The sequence below is a fragment of the Homo sapiens genome, chromosome 10, assembly GCF_000001405.40.
Source record: "Homo sapiens chromosome 10, GRCh38.p14 Primary Assembly".
Taxonomy (NCBI): domain Eukaryota; kingdom Metazoa; phylum Chordata; class Mammalia; order Primates; family Hominidae; genus Homo; species Homo sapiens.
In genome coordinates, this window is record NC_000010.11 from 86,963,276 (window position 1) to 86,978,835 (window position 15,560).

Below are 15,560 nucleotides of genomic sequence, written 5' to 3' on the forward strand. Positions count from 1 at the left end.
TGCTGTGTAGCTTGAGGAGGGGTCCCCAGGTCCTCCCAGGAACAGGAACGGGTTCAGCCTGTTGATAGGACCAGGTATCCTATAGGGACACACACAGGGCATTCATGGGACCTGCGTGAGCCTTCAGGAACACCCCCAACCCACCCATTGCCTTTAACATGGAGGAGGCAGCACTGCCTTCGGCTCCCCAAGACATTCGACAGGACTCACAGTCCCATCCACGGGGATAGCTTAGCTCAGCCTCAAGGTAGCCCCCGCCTGCCTGCTCTGAGTCCCTGAGGAACCCACTGTCAGCAGGAGGTGAAGATAGGCTCCTGGGTCTTCCCTCCATGTGAGTTCTGGGCTCCAGTGTCGCAAGAGGAACAGGGCCACCTAACATCCTCCCTGGGGCAGATGGTGACTTTCAAAGATGGAGAAGTCTAAACCTAGTGAGGATGAAGGGCATCCCACAGGAGAGACAGAAGGTGGACCCTGCGGCGCCTCCCACCTGGCCCCAGCCAGTCTCATGCTCCCCGCTGGACCTGGAGCTGGGTACCCCTTGCACCCCTCCTGCACCCAGAAGCCTGCCAGTTGCCACCAAAAACACAACAGCAGAGACGCACGAAGCCGCACCTTGACAGAAAAATAGTAAAAAGCAACAGCTGCTGAGGTCCTCACAGGCGTTGACTGGGCACTGTTCTGAGCACTTCACCTTATTTAATCCTCAGAATAAACCTCTCAGGTTGGAGCTGTAGATCCAGGTTTTGCTGAGACGCACAGGACTGGGCAGAAGCCCAGGTGGCTCCCCAGCCCTGCTATGGCTGCATGGACCCCAAGGTGCTTACAGTGGATTGCCCCCAACCCAAAGTTTCAAAACAACCCAGGGCTTGCTGGCCAGTGGCCTACATGAAAGGCTGTTTGCCCAGCCCACTCTGAACAAGCCTGCCGGGCACGACGCAAACCACCCATCATGTAGGCCACTGGCCAGCGTGTCCTGGGTTGTTTTAAAGCCTTGCATGCCGGGCGGGCTTGTTCAGACCAGGGTTCCCTGGGGATCCTGGCTTCCCCTTTGATACTCAGATGGTTTGGGCTCAAAGCATCTCAGTGCCTTGCCCCAGGCCTTCAGGCCTGGGTGTTGGAGCCAGAGCTTGAGTCCGTCCACATGTGACTTCAGACACTGCCCTGTCCACACCGCCTCCCCATCCAGCCTCTGCAGTGGATTCAAGGGCAGCCCAGGAGGCTGGGAGCCCAGTCAGACACAGCGGAGCCAGGCTGTATCTGTTGTCTGGCCATGGGCATCCACTGAGGAGGCAGAACGGAGCAGGGGGCTGCTGGTCTCCACATCCCCAAGCACTGCCATGGGCAGGCATGAAGGGTCTGGAAGCAGCTCAGGCCAGTCAGGGCTGTTCCTGCTCCCCAGCCCAGACATGTACACATTAAGCAGGCCTGTATGAACCCAGGAGGAGGCCACCTGGGGCCTGGGTGTGCCCGAGAGTCCCCTGGGCTGTGAGAGAAAGCAAGGAGGAGCAAGGCTGGTCAGGTGATGGGGGTGAGGGAGAGGGCACCTATGCCCGGCTCCCAGCGACAACCTGCCCCAGGTTTCAGGGCCCTCTGCCTCTGCTGGAGGAGCCCAGAGGGGTCCCTGCTGCCCCTACCACAGCCCCCCTACAACCCCCTCTCACATACACTCAGGGCTTGTTCCTGGACTCAAATGACAAACATCACCAGAAAGCCCCTTCCCAGCCATGGGCACTGGCAGTGCTCTTTGCCTTTGAAACCTCATGTGCTCTGCACCCTGTGAGGCTGCTTCTGACCTCCCTGCAGGAGCACGGTTGACTCCCCTTATCCACCAGGATACACTCAAGATGTTTCCAGCTGCCTGCAACCCCAGATAGTACCAAAGCCTACATATGTATCTTCCTACACGTACACATGTGCCTCCCTATGATGAAGTTTATACATTAGGCACAGTAATAGACTAACAATAACCAGTAAGAAAACGGAACAATTATAACAATATACTGTAATGAAAGTTATTTAAAACATGAATTGTTTATTTCTAGAATTTTCTTTTTTTTTTTTTTTTGAGACGGAGTCTTACTCTGTCATCCAGGCTGGAGTGGTGGTGCGATCTCTGCTCACTGCAACCTCTGCCTCCCAGGTTCAAGTGATTCTCCTGCCTCAGCCTCCCAAGTAGCAGGGACTACAGGCGTGCGCCACCACGCCCAGCTAATTTTGGTACTTTTAGTACAGACAGGGTTTCACCATGTTGGCCAGGCTGGTCTCGAACTCCTGACTTCAAGCTATCCACCTACCTCGGCCTCCCAAAGTGCTGGGATTACAGGCAGGAGCCATCACGACCAGCTATTTCTGGAATTTTCCATTTAACATTTTGGACCTTACCAATTGCGGTGCAGGGGCCAAGGGAAAACTTCCCCTTTACCCTCTGAAGGTTCACTGAAAAGTCAGCTCATGAAAGCAGAATAGAAATGGAATACACATTCATTAGCATGCAAGGGGAAATCAGAGTGACTGCCCCACCACGAAATGGGGTACAGATGAGCAATGGGGAAGTGTGGGTAATTTCAGGGGGCTAGTAAATGATTTTCAGGGGAATTCAGTGGGCTTGAAGAACATACAGTGGCCTGGGACAAAGTCTGTTGGGCTCACAGAGCAGACAACGGTTTGCAAAATCTGTCCAGGTATGTGAGCAGGCTTCAGTCTTTCTTCCTGTGACAGCAGTTCAGTCAGAGAAAACTCCGGGAAGGGACCAGTGGTCATTGTTTTCTTCTTTGGTGGGTCCAGACTTAAGGCAGATGAGGAACTTCAGAGAACAACTTCACTGTATGCTTTGGAAGAGACAAAGGGTTGGGGGGCCTGTGGGAGTCTGGTCGGAGAGACCTTAAGGCTTCTTCAGTTCAGAATGTCACACCACTATATTTCGGGGTATTGGTTTCTGAGCCCCAACAATGAGTAACTGAAACTGCAGAAAGCGAAATCACAAATTAGCTGGGGGTGGTGGCTCATGCCTGTAATCTCAGCTACTCAGGAAGCTGAGGCAGAACTGCTTGAACCTGGAAGGCAGAGGTTGCAGTGAGCCAAGATCCCGCCATTGCACTCCAGCCTGGGCAACAAGAGCAAAACTCTGTCTCCAAAAACAAAAAAAGGGAAAAAAAAAAGTGACACCACAGCAAACTGGGGCGGGGGTGGGGGAAACGGTAATGCGGTAATGCGCTCCCTCCTTCTGCCTCTCCTTGTCTGAGAAGCCCTGGTGCCCTGCACGCTCTCACAAGGTCCACTGCTGAGTCCTGGGCACCCTTCAGCCAATTTAATCTTCACACACACACTTTGGGGAGACGCTGTGATGTGATGGGGATGTTGAGGCTCAGAGAAGTGAGGGGCTTGCTCTAAGAATATCTGAACCCAAGAGGTTTGACTGTAGTGCCTGCCGCTAGGGCCACGTGGAGCTCTCTCTACCACCATCTGCTGGGGGCTGGCTGTCTCTTCCCACAGAGGCTGCTCCCTTCCTGTCCAGCTCACAGCTCATTGCCCATGGGGCCTGGAGCCCAGTGGCACCACCAGCCTGTGATAAACTGGAACACTCGAAGGCCTGCCTGGCTATTGGGCACTACCGGTGGGATTTCAGGAGGGCTGGCAGGGCTGTGGCCAGCCAGGCAGGGCATGGCTGAGATGGGCTCCCCAGAGTCCCCAAGGCATCCATATGGCCGCTCCCAGGGCAAGGCCTCGCTCTGGGAGAGGAGGGGCGGGGGGCTGGGAGGACTGTTGCTGCCGCTTTGTTTTGCCTGAGACCTGCTCCCTCCCCCTTCCTCCACCTAATCTCATCACCTGCCTCTTCCCTTTGCCCAGGGTTGACCTCATCTCCATTAATCCATACCGTGTGTGTGTGTGTGTGTGTGTGTGTGTGTGTGTGTGTGTGTGTGTGTGTACAGGTGCACTTCCAAACAACTCCCTCTAGGGGCTGACCCCGCAGCACTAGAAGCAGGGTATGTGCCAGCAGACCAAGCCTGTGTGGCAGGGGCTTCCCAGCGCTCCAGAATAGGGGAGACACCAGCAGAGGTGCAAGAAACAGCCCCGGACAGGAAGCGGTAGAGAGACCCAGAAAGGCAGGGTGGGTGTGCACTGGCCTCCAGGTCCTGAAGGCCTACTCTGGAGTGGGAGTATACCCAGCTGGGTGGGGCCTGACCTACACCCCTTGTGTGCCAGGGGAATGTATCTTGCAAGCTGTTTTGCTGCACCCAAGGATGATCTTCTCCACTCAGGCCCAGGTCCCTAAGTCCCCTCCTAACAGCCACAAGTCATACTCTCTAGCGCCTTGCCTGCCCCATCTCAGGAAAGGTGACCTGAGAGGCCCAAGCTTATTCCTGCCCTCCCTGAGCCATGCTTCCTGCCCAACTTCCTAAGGCTTCGGTGACAGACGGCAATCTCCTTGCCTGGGCTGCACAGGCACACTGCCCTCTCCCCCTTGGGGTTGCATGGTCTGCAAGTGCACACACCTGTATCTCGCCCTCTCAGGGGAAAGATTTACCAGGCCCTCTCCGGCTGCATCCACTGGGTCTCTGGCTACAGGCAGAGAGCCAGTCAGCAGTGCCCCTGCAGCTGTTTGGGGCTGGGGGCTCCGATGATGCCAGAGCCCTAGGGTTTACAGGCACCTAGGCAGATTCGAGGATCCAAGTCCCTGCCACATGCGTTTGGGTGAGACCGACCTCACTGCCTCAGTTTCCTCCTATACACTGATGCTATCAACAAAAATACCCACTTCAGGAGGTGGTTGTAAAGATTATACAAGAGACTGCAGAGCGTTAGGCAGCACCTGGCACAAGACAAATGCTCAGTAAAAGACCACTGCTGTCATTAAGGTCAACACCAGCCCTGAGCTCCTGCCCTGGAGCTGACCCAGCGCTCACGCCCAGGATCAGAAAGGGAGGGCTGGGGCTGATGAGCTGGGAGGTGGTGTGCGCCCTTCTCCTGCCTCCAGCTCCTCTCTGGACCCCTGTCCTGGCACCTCTTCGGTCCCTGGTTCGGTCTGCCCCTTTCCCACCGCGGCCCGTCTTAGGCCAGGATGTGCTCCCTGCCCTGCGGACTCTGGAGCAGGGCCCGGCCACTCCCCGGAGCCTGTATGACGGGAACCGCCCCGCGCCCTCTCCCCTACGCGGGGCAGGCCAGCCCTGGGGCGCCTTAAAAACCGGAGCTGGCGCTTGGCATCGCCACTCTGGGCAGGATCCAACGTCGCTCCAGCTGCTCTTGACGACTCCACAGATACCCCGAAGCCATGGCAAGCAAGGGCTTGCAGGACCTGAAGCAACAGGTGGAGGGGACCGCCCAGGAAGCCGGTGAGGATAGCGCGCGACCTAGGGCTCAGGCAGGGGCACCTGCGTGGATGCGCAGGCAGAAGCAGCGGGTCGGCGCGGTCCGCAAGTTCCTGGACCGGCAGCTTGGCTCGGAAGGCTCGGTCCTCCACTGAGACGCAGGGGGCAGGCAGAACGCCCACCCCGGCGAGCAGACAGATGGTGCCCGCAGGGAGGCAGCGGAACAGAGGCTCCGGAGGAGCCGGAGCTGCGCTGCGGGCACTGCGGGAGCCCCTCCAAGGAGGCCATGCTGGCGCTGGGCGGCCCGCCCAGGCCCTCAGGAGAGGGTGAAGGTCCAGGACAGGGATCGGGCGCGGCCCGCCACCACTTAAACCCGCGCGCGCCACCAGAGGCTGCCCCAGACCTCAAAGGGCTTTGTTTCCATCCCACCCCCATCGCCGAAAAGTAATCGTCGCCTTACCTTTAAGTCCCCACCTGGCAAAGAAGGTCCTTAGTTCCTCCACCTCCAGCTCTCTCCTCCGTATTCTGGAGGTGACCCAGCTGCGGTGGGGGCGTGGGAGATGTCAGGAGACCACTGGGTTGGTTCTTCCTGCACCTAGCCCAGGCTTCGTTAGGACTCCAGCTCCCTGTCAGTCCTGCCCATATCCCAGTCAGGAGACAATATCCAAACCAACCCCTTACTTCACCAGTGCTCCAGGGGAGGCCCACAGTTCTTCCCTTGAGACTGAAATGCTACCAAGGAAGCCTCCGTGTCAGGTCCCTTCCTTCTGGGCTTCACTTTTCCATCTGAGAGCTGGGTGCAAAGGATGGGCTGCTTTCTGATGGGTTAATCGAGACGAGGTTCCCAGGGGCCTCTCAGCACACTTGCCTGACTAACCCTTTCCGGAGGATGGGATCTGGGTAAGGCAGGCCCTTTCCTGTTCAGCAGCAGGGATGAGTTACAGCTCTGTAGGCGGGAGCCACCTGTCAGCCCCCCCGGGGCTGGTGACTCCATTCCCAGCAGGCCGAAACTCTGGTCCAGAGGAGATAGTCCGGCCTTGGAAGTTTTGCCTCCTTCCTTCATTTGTCTCCTAATGTCTTAAGCTGCCTGTCCACAGAGGCACTGGCTTTGCTTGTGTGCCCCTCCGGGCAGGCCACAGGAGGGAGGAGGCAGTAAGGACCTGGCAAAACTGCAAGCCCCAGGGCTAAGTGCATGAAAGGTGGGAATTCAGGCATCTGGGCCAGGCTTCTAGGGGAGAAGCTGTAAAAGGGGGCAAGGGTCTTCTGCGCCATCACCAGCATTAGCCAACAGTCCAGATGCTAGCTGCAGCCTGGCCCTGCCCTGCCTTCCTTCCTCTGTCCAACATTTTCTCAGTAGCCCTGGAGATGGAAAGGGAAGCTCCTCCCCCACAGAGAAGGAGCTCAGAGTTAGAAATAAACAAAAACATCCCAGAGGCATGGAAAGGTCTCCTGCCCCTCGGGCTGGGGGGCCCTGGGCCAGGGACTTTATCTCCATGGCATCCATCCCTTGGACCTGTACCACCGAATACTCTGGAGGACACAGAGGCATGGCAATGGTGGGGCACCTGTAGTCGGTGGTGCCTCAACAGGGGCTAAAAGCCACATCTCTCTGTTCCAGTGTCAGCGGCCGGAGCGGCAGCTCAGCAAGTGGTGGACCAGGCCACAGAGGCGGGGCAGAAAGGTCTGGTGGGGCTGGAGGGAGGCGGGCAACCCCAGCACACCTCCCACTCCCCGCCCCATCCCGGCTGGGGCCCAGGCACATCCTCTCCTCTGCAGAGCCCTCTGTCCACAATGCCCCAAGCAGGTCCCCCGGGAGACCCAGGCCAGGCTAAGCCTACAGGCACTGTGGTTCCCGGGCCCTGCCTGACCTGCCCTCTCTCCCGCCCTTCCCCAGCCATGGACCAGCTGGCCAAGACCACCCAGGAAACCATCGACAAGACTGCTAACCAGGCCTCTGACACCTTCTCTGGGATTGGGAAAAAATTCGGCCTCCTGAAATGACAGCAGGGAGACTTGGGTCGGCCTCCTGAAATGACAGCAGGGAGACTTGGGTGACCCCCCTTCCAGGCGCCATCTAGCACAGCCTGGCCCTGATCTCCGGGCAGCCACCACCTCCTCGGTCTGCCCCCTCATTAAAATTCACGTTCCCACCCTGTGTCCACTTCATGATTCCTCGCAAGCTGGGCCCAGTCCTCTCATCCCAAGAGCAGAGCCACCGTAGCCGGAGTCCTAGCCTCCCAAATTCGGAAATCCAATCCAACGGTCTCAGGAATGTTTTCCATCCCGCCACGCGCCTCCCGAAGCTCCCAGACCGGAGGCTCAGCCCCCATCTCGGTTAGTGCCCCTCTCCCGCCCGACTTTAGAGCCAGCCCCTGCCCCTTATTCCCTGCCCCAGGATCCCGGCCCCTCCTGGGAGCTGGGCTGGACTCGGTCCTCAGATCCTCGGAAGGCTCAGCTCTGGGCGGGGCAAGGGACCTTGCAAGTCGGGGGGGCCTCGGGAACTTCTCTCCGCCAGCTGCGACTGGAGGCTGGGAACAGGGGAGACGACCCAGGGCCACGGCCCCTCAGGACTTCAGGCGGCCGGAGGTTGTGGGGACGAAGCGGAGTCGGGAGCCGGGCTTCCGGCCCTCACTACCCCGTCTCGGCCCGCGGGTTGCCTGCGTGCCCGCCCCACCCAGCGGTGAGTCATGGGGCAGGGCCCGCGGGAAGCTTTGTTGAGTGGGGCGCTGCCGCCCGGCGGGGTCCCGCCCCGCCACTCCCCGGGGAGGGGCTTCGGGGCACGGGGCCGTGCACGTGAGAACGAAGCACGGTTGTGGGGGGGGCATGCACGTGCGCGCTCGCGTGCGGGAGACCCCTCCCTTCCACACCACTTCCTTTCGGGACAAACCGGTAACCTCCGGCCCTGGAAGGTTTTGTCTAGTGGGTTCCGGATGGACTGGTGTTCCCAGCACCCCCCCGGCACGTGTCCACGCGTGTGGCCCCGGTACGGTGTATGCCTTGCCAGTAGGTGACTCAACGTGGCACTGGTTGAGCGCCGGATGAGGCCTGGCCCTGGCGCGGGGCGTGGGCTGCTGCGGCCCTTTCCTCCCCGCGCCCCTCACGCCCCAGCGGGCCCCTAGCGGTTCCCGTCCACCCGCTCCATGTCTTTACCCCGGTACTACCTCCACCTGCAGTCGCCTCCTCCTGCGCGCCAGTGGCCTCTGCGTTTCTGTTGAAAGGTACCGACTACGCGGTGCTTCCCAGTTCTGAGGCGATTTAGTCAGCGGACTCAAGGCGCGCTCCCTGCCTTCCCCGGCCTCCCAGCAGGGGACGAAGTCCCCAACCTGGCTGCCAGTCCAGATGCTGCAGTACAGGTCTGCCTAGGAGGCCGTTCCCTTCTCCAGTCTGAGATCTCCCTCGCGGGGCACGTGTCTACCACCCTTAACCCAGGGCTGCCCTGGTTCCACTATCGGTTACATGTTGCTGACTGTCCCCAAAAGGTTTCTTTGTAGAATGTGGGAAAGTCCTTGAAGAGACACCCGGAGCAGTGTCAGGGGCGCTTCCAGGAGCCCCTGCCTCCAGGAGCAGGTCCTAGGGTCTGGAGAGCCGGCCTCAGGGCCACTCCAGGAGGCTGGTGGGGCTGGACTGGCAGAGCCCAGCATCCTTCTGGTGTGCATCATTCCCCTATGACTCAGGGATGAATCCCAAGGGACTTTTCACTTGTTCTCCTTGTGAGTGATCGCCTTAAGTGCGACCCAGGTGCGGCCAAGGAGAGAGATCAGGCCTGAGGCCAGGAGTCTTCTAGAAAAGGCTTTTCTTGTCTTGAAGGCGGGGCATGGTGGCTCAGCCTGTAATCCCAGCACTTTGGGAGGCTGAGGCGGGAGAATGACTTGAGACCGGGAGGTCGAGGACCGCTGCACTCAGTCTGGGCAACAGAGTGAGACCCTGTCTCAGAAAAAAAAAAAAAAGCCGCCCTTCATCTTCCTCTGGACACCTTGTGGCTGGAAAGGAACCCTAGAACCAGCCACTTGGAACCACAGGAGGAACAAGTCTGAGGAACAAGTCTAAGGAAAAGCCCACCTGCTGATGAGGGCAGAGCCTCCCAGACCTCCAGCCTGTTCCCACAACACCCCCTCCCTTCCATCTCAGCCACCTTGACCTTCCCATCATGCTCCTGCTGCCTCGGTATCTTCACACCTGCGGCATTTTCTGCCTGGCATACTCTCCATAAATCACCCTTGCCTATTGCTCTTCCAAACGTCAGGTCTCAGCGGCCTTGGGTGTGCCGACACACACACACACACACACACACACACACAATATGCATCAGGCCCCTGGTGACACATTCTCACACCCCCTGTACCTCCTTTTTAGAGTCACAATGAGCCTTCATGTGTGCTTCTCCATAGTGGTGGTTCATGGGGCTGTAACCAGTCCCTTTTTAGTGCATGCTCTGTGTCTTCTGCGGTGCTCAGGCAGCACTGGCTAAATGATTGCATGGAGGACCATCCTTTTGTTCTCCTGATGGATGACAGTGAGTTCTCATTTTCAGGTTTACCATGGAACCATCTCTGCAATGCAGCCCCTTCCACATTGCCCCAGCCCCATGGAGCTGGTGCTCCGGTGGCGCTGTGCAATTGCCTGTTCCTGTGTGCCTCTGCTCCCCCGACACTAGGAGCCCTGGAGGGCAGGGCCAGGTGGGACTTGCCTTTTGAACCATGTCTGGGACACAGAGGGCACAGAGCCAGTGTCTCTGTAATAGGTCCCTTGCCTGATGGCAGGGCAAGTCCATACACCCGAAACACCGGGTTGCAGCAGAAGAAAGAGGTTTAGTCGCAGGGCTGCCAGACAAGATGGGAGAAAACCTCAAATCTCTCTCCGAGAAGTTTGGGGTTAGGGTTCTTAAGAGTTTTAGAGCAGGCCAAAGTGTGGAGATTGTTGATTTGTTGAAGAGTGCGGAGTGAAGTCATGGGGCCAGGGAGATGAAAAAACTGTATTCTCATGCTGATTATGTTCTTCTGGGCTGTTCAAACTGGTTGGGGTCACTTGTTTCACTGGAATTTGGAATCTGAAAAACATTTTAGGCTGGATGCGGTGGCTCATTCCTGTTTTCCCAGTACTCTGAAGGCCAAGGTGGGCGGATCATCTGACGTTAGGAGTTCGAGACCAGCCTGGCCACATAGTGAAACCCTGTCTCTACTAAAAATACAAAAATTAGTCGGGTTTGGTGGCGTGCGCCTGTAATCCCAGTTACTTGGGAGGCTGAGGCAGGAGAATTGCTTGAACCTGGGAGGTGGAGGTTGCTGAGCCAAGATGGTGCCGCTGCACTCCAGCCTGGGCGACAGAGTGAGACTCTGTCTCGGAAAAAAAAAAACTGAAAAAACAAACGAAAAAAACGTTTTAAGGAATTCCTAAACAAAAGCCTATGATTCTAACATCAGAAAGCCGAACTGTGGGAACAGTGGGGATGCAGATGGTCAGTATACAGTGCCACGGGAAGTTCTATAGAAGGAATTTAGTTAAAGCACAGCCTCATTAATGCTTAATTATAACTGTTAATTTTTAATTATAACTGTTAATGCTTAATTATAACTATATTTCTGTGTAGAATGCTTGTTAACCCTGTGAGGACAGCTTCACCAGAGGAGCCCTTGGGAGCTTATACTGCCCAGGCCTGTCTCCACCAGGTTCATGGAGCAAGTACAGCCCAGACTGGCTGAGGAGGAAGGATTGTGGCCACACTACACCTATTGGGTGTCAGTCAGTCCTCCAGAGATCAATTCTTCCATTAGCAATGCCACACATAATTCCTAATTCTCCAAATTCCAGTTCCCCATCTAGCCAAACACACAGTCACTAACATTACATTGTGGTTCCACTTACAAATGACTGCATTTTCAGGTGGAGGTGTTCCCTTAAACCATTTTCTCTGGATGGCGTTCCTTCCTCCCTCTTCTTCTTCATCCCCATTTTCAGTCCGTAGGATGAGCTTCTTTGTATGTAATCTCCCAAACGTCTACCGCTGGAGTTCTCAGCTTTGACCCCCATCAGACTACACATGAGGCAGGGTGCAGATTCTTCCACTTTCACCTCCTCTCCCCTTCTCTCCCTCCGCCGCCTTTTTAAAAAATGTTACTTGTCCCATTTCTACATTGTGAAAACACGTAGAGTTGCATTCCATTCCTCAGCCCTGAACCACACCTTTGTTTTTGTCTTGGATCTGCAATTGAAGATATTAAAAGCTGTTTGCCATTCCTTCTGCTGAATATTTTCTGCTATCTCTTGGTTGGTTAGAATTAGTCCTGCAGAGTCTTCTCTCTCTCTCTCTCTCTCTCTTTTTTTTTTGAGACAGAGTATCACTCCTGTTACCCAGGCAGGAGTGCAGTGGCACAGTGTCCGCTCACTGCAACCTCCACCTCCCAGGTTCAAGCAGTTCTTCTGCCTCAGCTTCCGGAATAGCTGGGATTACAGGTGCCTGCCACCACGCCTGGCTAATTTTTGTATTTTTAGTAGAGATGGGGTTTCACCATTTTGGCCAGGCTGGTCTCAAATACCTGATCTTAGGTGATCCATCAGCCTTGGCCTCCCAAAGTGCTGGAAGTACAGGTGTGAGCCACCGCACCCAGCCCAGAGTCTTCTCAAGAATGAAATAGTTAAAGATGATAAATGTTTACAGAGATAAGACATCTGATATCTGAGTTAATAATTTCTATAACTGGGTAATGGGTCCATGAGGGTTCATTTTATTTATATATATATATATATTTATTTATTTATTTATTTATTTTTTTGAGACAGAGTCTTCCTCTGTTGCCCAGGCTGGAGTGCACTGGCATGATGTCGGCTCACTGCAGCCTCCGTCTCCTGGGTTCAGGCGATTCTCCTGTCTCAGCCTCCTGTCTCAGCTCATGCCTGTAGCTGGGATTGCAGGCATGTGCCACCATGCCTGGCTAATTTTTGTATTTTTAGTACAGACAGGGTTTCACTATGTTGGCCAGACTGGTCTCGAACTCCTGACCTCAGGTGATCCTCCCACCTCAGCCTCCTGAAGTGCTGGGATTACAGTCGGGAGCCACCGTGCCCGGCCCATTATATTCTATTTTTGTGTATGACATTTTCTATTTTTAAAACGGTAAAAAAGTTAAAATAAAAATTTTATAAAAAGAAGGGCTTATGTGAACAGTATTCTGATTTTTAAATGTTTGGTTGGTATTGTTAGTCTGTAGCCTTTAGACTTTATCCCTGGCTGGGTTTGAGGTTTGTGGCTCCCTCTTCAGCTTCAGTGTCTTCTAGGTGTGGCTGCAACTGCCTTCTGGCACAGAAGGTTGAGCAGACCCTACATGTCTGATGCACACTGAAATTTCTTTTTTTATTTTTAATTTTAATTTATTATTTATTTTGAGATGGGGGTCTCACTATGTTCCCCAGGCTGGTCTCAAACTCTTGGCCTCAAGCAGTCCTCCCACCTTGGCCTAACAAAGGGCTGGGATTACAGGTGTGAGCCGCTGCACCAGCTCCCTACTGGAATTTTTTTTTGTAGAGACAGGGAGGGTCTGGCTCTGTCACCCAGATTGGAGTGCAGTGGCCTGATCATGGCTCCCTGCAGCCTCAAACTCCTGGCCTCAAGCAATCCTCCTACCTCAGCCTCCCAAGTAGCTGGGATTACAGGTGTGTGCCACCATGCTCAGCTAATTAAAACAAATTTTTTTTTGTAGAGGTGGAGTCTCACTATGTTGTCCAGGCTGATGTCAAACTCCTGAGCTCAAGTGATCCTCCCACCTCAGCCTCCCCACAGCACTGGGATTACGGGTGTGAGCCACTGTGTCCAGACTCCTGCAGGAATTTCTAATAAGCAACATGATATTTCTGGCTTGTTTTCTTTCTTTAAGTTTAAAGTACAATAATTTTTCTAGAGTTTGTCTCAATGATTATGGCTCTGGTTCATTGTTGCCTGGTGTGCAGTTTGCCCTTTGAATACTAATTCAAGGCTGGGCGTGGTAGCTCAGGCCTGTAATCCCAGCACTTTGGGAGGCTGAGGTGGGAGGATAGCTTGAGCTCGGGAGTTTTAGATCAGACTGGGTGACAGTGATACCCCATCTCTACAAAAAATAGGAAAAGTATCCAGGTGTGGTGGTGCACGCCTGTAGTCCCAGCTACTTAAGAAGGCTGAAGTGGGAGGATCCCTTGAGCCCAGGAGTTGAAGGCTGCAGTGAGCCATGATTGCGCTACTGCACTCCAGCCTGAGTGGCAGAGTGAGATCCTATCTCAAAAAAAAAAAAAAAGTATATATGTATGTGTGTGTGTGTGTATATATGTGTGTGTATATATATGTGTGTGTATATATATGTGTGTGTGTATATATATGTGTGTGTGTGTGTGTGTGTGTATGTACCTGTGTATGTGTGGTGTATGTATACATATACATATATACCCAGAAGACAGATTGTTGGATCATAAGTTAGCTCTATATTTAATTTTTTGAGGAATCCCCATAGTGTTTTTCTTTCTTTCTTTCCTTCTTTCTTTTTTTAGACCAGGTCTTGCACTGTTGCCCAGGCTGGAGTGCAATGGCACGATCTCAGCCCACTGCAACCTCTGCCTCCTGGGTTCACGCAATTCTCCTGCCTCAGCCTCCCGAGTAGCCGGGATGACAGGCACACACCACCACACCCGCTAATTTTTTTTTTTTTTTTTAGTAGAGATGGGGTTTCACTATGTTGGCCAGACTGGTCTTGAACTCCTGACCTCGTGATCTGCCCGTCTCGGCCTCCCAAAGTGCTGAGATTACAGATGTGAGCCACCACGCCTGGCCTTCCATGGTGTTTTTCATAATGGCTATATCAATTTGCATTCCCACTAATAGTGTACAAGGGTTCCCTTTTCTCCACATTCTCACCAACACTTATCTTTTGTCTTTTTTTTTTTTTTAGAGATGAGGTCTCCCTGTGTTGCCCAGGCAGGAGTGCAGTGGCTGTTCACAGGTGTGAACATAGCACACTATGGCCTCGAACTCCTGGGCTCAAGTGATCCTCCTGCCTCAACCTCTGGAGTAGCTAGGACTATAGGCATGCACCACTGTGCCCAGCTCCTGCATAATTGTATTTTAAAATATTTGCTCTGTTCCATTGCTCAGCTTTCTTCTTTGGGAATTCCAAGTGTGAGTATGAAGTTCTTTTCTTCCTACTTTCCATATCTACTGTTGTCTCCCAAATACTGTGTATCTTTTTCATTCCTTTTTTTCTTTACTTTTTCCATTTCTGTTCTATAGGCATCTACGGTGGTATCTACCTTCTTGTGCTTCTTATCTGCCATGGTTTGTTTAGTCTTTTTTCTTCTATTCATTTCTGAGATATATTTCTCTTCTGCCTGCTCTTGCTGTCTGGCCATCTCCTCTCAGAGTTCTGGCAACTGCTTTACAGTCTTCCTTCATAACAGCTGTTGTTTATTAAGTGTCTTCTTTTCTTCCTAAAATTCATGTTGGAATGTTGACTATTCTTTTTCCATATTTAAAAATAGTATGTTTTTACTCTTAACTAGAAAAAAGGGAAGGGGAGAAGTATATATCTATGGTATGCTGTCTTTCTGTAAGAAAGAGAGGATGGGCCGGGCACAGCGGCTTATGCCTGTAATCCCAGCACTTTCGGAGGCCGAGGCAGGCAGATCACGAAGTCAGGAGTTGGAGACCAGCCTGGTCAACATGGTGAAACTCCATCTCTACTAAAAATACAAAAATTAGCCGGGCGTGATGGCACACACCTGTTGTCCCAGCTACTTGGGAGGCTGAGGCAGGAGAATCGCTTGAACCCAGGAGGCGGAGGTTGCAGTGAGCTGAGACCGTGCCACTGCACTCCAGCCTGGGTGACAGAGTGAGAATCCATCTCCAAAGAAAAAAAAAAAGGATTAAAGAAAATACAATGTCTCTGTTTATTTGTAGAAAGTGCAGGAAGGCCAGTCACAGTGGCTAATGCCTGTAATCCTAGCACTTGCTGAGGTGGGCGGGTCACTTGAGGCCAGGAGTTTCAGACCAGCCTGGCCAACATAACAAAATACTGTCTCTACTAAAAATACAAAAATAAGCCAGGTGTGGTGGCACGTGCCTATAATCCCAGCTACTCAGGAGGCTAAGGCATGAGAATCGCTTGAACCTAGGAGGGAGAGGTTGCAGTGAGTCAAGATTGTGTCACTGCACTGCAGCCTAGGTGACAGAGCAAGACTCTGCCTTAAAAAAAAAAAGTGCAAGAAGGATAAACTAGGAAATAAAGGGATTGGGGGATT

General features: G+C 53.8%; 2 protein-coding genes and 2 long non-coding RNA genes across 12 annotated transcripts in view, besides 13 other annotated features; 3 read left to right on the forward strand and 1 right to left on the reverse strand.

Moving 5' to 3' along the window:
• Positions 2,012-7,965, reverse strand: ADIRF-AS1 (ADIRF antisense RNA 1). 9 transcript variants are annotated; one of them, NR_170178.1, is made up of 4 exons: positions 7,782-7,965; positions 7,254-7,298; positions 5,781-6,687; positions 2,012-2,962 (listed from the first exon to the last, which is right to left on the reverse strand). It is a non-coding gene; the product is annotated as an ADIRF antisense RNA 1 (long non-coding RNA). The 9 variants fall into 9 exon arrangements; NR_170179.1 differs by having other exon boundaries at positions 5,767-6,665; positions 7,254-7,332; NR_170177.1 differs by having other exon boundaries at positions 2,012-2,828; positions 5,767-6,684; positions 7,254-7,332.
• Positions 2,434-2,493: an enhancer, noted in NCBI's record as "active region_3699". NCBI's record gives its function as "activates an Ori minimal core promoter by ATAC-STARR-seq in GM12878 lymphoblastoid cells {active_cell/tissue: GM12878}" and the evidence as "EXISTENCE:reporter gene assay evidence [ECO:0000049][PMID:35858748]".
• Positions 2,564-2,883: an enhancer, noted in NCBI's record as "active region_3700". NCBI's record gives its function as "activates an Ori minimal core promoter by ATAC-STARR-seq in GM12878 lymphoblastoid cells {active_cell/tissue: GM12878}" and the evidence as "EXISTENCE:reporter gene assay evidence [ECO:0000049][PMID:35858748]".
• Positions 3,140-3,893: an enhancer, noted in NCBI's record as "H3K4me1 hESC enhancer chr10:88726172-88726925 (GRCh37/hg19 assembly coordinates)". NCBI's record gives its function as "activates a minimal SCP1, AML or CMV promoter by ChIP-STARR-seq in naive H9 embryonic stem cells {active_cell/tissue: H9 hESC(naive)}" and the evidence as "EXISTENCE:reporter gene assay evidence [ECO:0000049][PMID:30033119]".
• Positions 3,140-3,913: a biological region, named in NCBI's record as "H3K4me1 hESC enhancer GRCh37_chr10:88726172-88726925".
• Positions 3,734-3,913: an enhancer, noted in NCBI's record as "active region_3701". NCBI's record gives its function as "activates an Ori minimal core promoter by ATAC-STARR-seq in GM12878 lymphoblastoid cells {active_cell/tissue: GM12878}" and the evidence as "EXISTENCE:reporter gene assay evidence [ECO:0000049][PMID:35858748]".
• Positions 3,894-4,646: an enhancer, noted in NCBI's record as "H3K4me1 hESC enhancer chr10:88726926-88727678 (GRCh37/hg19 assembly coordinates)". NCBI's record gives its function as "activates a minimal SCP1, AML or CMV promoter by ChIP-STARR-seq in naive H9 embryonic stem cells {active_cell/tissue: H9 hESC(naive)}" and the evidence as "EXISTENCE:reporter gene assay evidence [ECO:0000049][PMID:30033119]".
• ADIRF (adipogenesis regulatory factor) lies at positions 5,207-7,640 on the forward strand. Its single transcript, NM_006829.3, has 3 exons — positions 5,207-5,330; positions 6,925-6,987; positions 7,201-7,640. The coding sequence occupies exons 1-3, from the start codon at positions 5,270-5,272 to the stop codon at positions 7,305-7,307; spliced, it is 231 nt and encodes a 76-aa protein (NP_006820.1). The 5' UTR covers positions 5,207-5,269; the 3' UTR covers positions 7,308-7,640.
• Positions 6,017-6,311: a silencer, noted in NCBI's record as "tiled region #6517; K562 Repressive non-DNase unmatched - State 23:Low". NCBI's record gives its function as "represses a minimal TATA promoter and a strong SV40 promoter by Sharpr-MPRA in K562 cells {active_cell/tissue: K562}" and the evidence as "EXISTENCE:reporter gene assay evidence [ECO:0000049][PMID:27701403]".
• Positions 6,017-6,906: a biological region, named in NCBI's record as "Sharpr-MPRA regulatory region 6517".
• Positions 6,153-6,906: an enhancer, noted in NCBI's record as "H3K27ac-H3K4me1 hESC enhancer chr10:88729185-88729938 (GRCh37/hg19 assembly coordinates)". NCBI's record gives its function as "activates a minimal SCP1, AML or CMV promoter by ChIP-STARR-seq in naive H9 embryonic stem cells {active_cell/tissue: H9 hESC(naive)}" and the evidence as "EXISTENCE:reporter gene assay evidence [ECO:0000049][PMID:30033119]".
• Positions 6,907-7,658: an enhancer, noted in NCBI's record as "H3K27ac-H3K4me1 hESC enhancer chr10:88729939-88730690 (GRCh37/hg19 assembly coordinates)". NCBI's record gives its function as "activates a minimal SCP1, AML or CMV promoter by ChIP-STARR-seq in naive H9 embryonic stem cells {active_cell/tissue: H9 hESC(naive)}" and the evidence as "EXISTENCE:reporter gene assay evidence [ECO:0000049][PMID:30033119]".
• Positions 6,907-8,694: a biological region, named in NCBI's record as "P300/CBP strongly-dependent group 1 enhancer GRCh37_chr10:88730527-88731726".
• The window catches only part of AGAP11 (ArfGAP with GTPase domain, ankyrin repeat and PH domain 11), a 39,891-nt gene continuing 31,391 nt past the window's right edge, over positions 7,061-15,560 (forward strand). Inside the window, exon 1 of the long non-coding RNA NR_171046.1 lies at positions 7,061-7,640. This is a non-coding gene — a long non-coding RNA (ArfGAP with GTPase domain, ankyrin repeat and PH domain 11). The remainder of the gene's footprint in view (positions 7,641-15,560) is intronic.
• Positions 7,495-8,694: an enhancer, noted in NCBI's record as "P300/CBP strongly-dependent group 1 enhancer chr10:88730527-88731726 (GRCh37/hg19 assembly coordinates)". NCBI's record gives its function as "activates an origin of replication core promoter dependent on BRD2, BRD4, P300/CBP, MED14 and CDK7 cofactors, with strong dependence on P300/CBP, by STARR-seq in HCT116 cells {active_cell/tissue: HCT116}" and the evidence as "EXISTENCE:reporter gene assay evidence [ECO:0000049][PMID:35650434]".
• Positions 7,893-8,442: a silencer, noted in NCBI's record as "silent region_2575". NCBI's record gives its function as "represses an Ori minimal core promoter by ATAC-STARR-seq in GM12878 lymphoblastoid cells {active_cell/tissue: GM12878}" and the evidence as "EXISTENCE:reporter gene assay evidence [ECO:0000049][PMID:35858748]".
• LOC124902474 (uncharacterized) lies at positions 8,130-11,540 on the forward strand. Its single transcript, XM_047426123.1, has 3 exons — positions 8,130-8,289; positions 9,838-9,982; positions 10,894-11,540. The coding sequence occupies exons 1-3, from the start codon at positions 8,130-8,132 to the stop codon at positions 11,003-11,005; spliced, it is 417 nt and encodes a 138-aa protein (XP_047282079.1). The 3' UTR covers positions 11,006-11,540.

What these genes read in the sequence shown, in the direction of transcription:
- ADIRF (NM_006829.3), top strand. Translation starts at nt 5,270, where the DNA reads ATGGCAAGCAAGGGCTTGCAGGACCTGAAGCAACAGGTGGAGGGGACC. An exon ending in GGGGACCGCCCAGGAAGCCG is followed by an intron (nt 5,331 to 6,924) that starts GTGAGGATAGCG and finishes TCTCTGTTCCAG; the next exon opens with TGTCAGCGGCCGGAGCGGCA. An exon ending in CACAGAGGCGGGGCAGAAAG is followed by an intron (nt 6,988 to 7,200) that starts GTCTGGTGGGGC and finishes GCCCTTCCCCAG; the next exon opens with CCATGGACCAGCTGGCCAAG.
- LOC124902474 (XM_047426123.1), top strand. Translation starts at nt 8,130, where the DNA reads ATGCACGTGCGCGCTCGCGTGCGGGAGACCCCTCCCTTCCACACCACT. An exon ending in TGTCCACGCGTGTGGCCCCG is followed by an intron (nt 8,290 to 9,837) that starts GTACGGTGTATG and finishes TCTCATTTTCAG; the next exon opens with GTTTACCATGGAACCATCTC. An exon ending in GCCCTGGAGGGCAGGGCCAG is followed by an intron (nt 9,983 to 10,893) that starts GTGGGACTTGCC and finishes ATTTCTGTGTAG; the next exon opens with AATGCTTGTTAACCCTGTGA.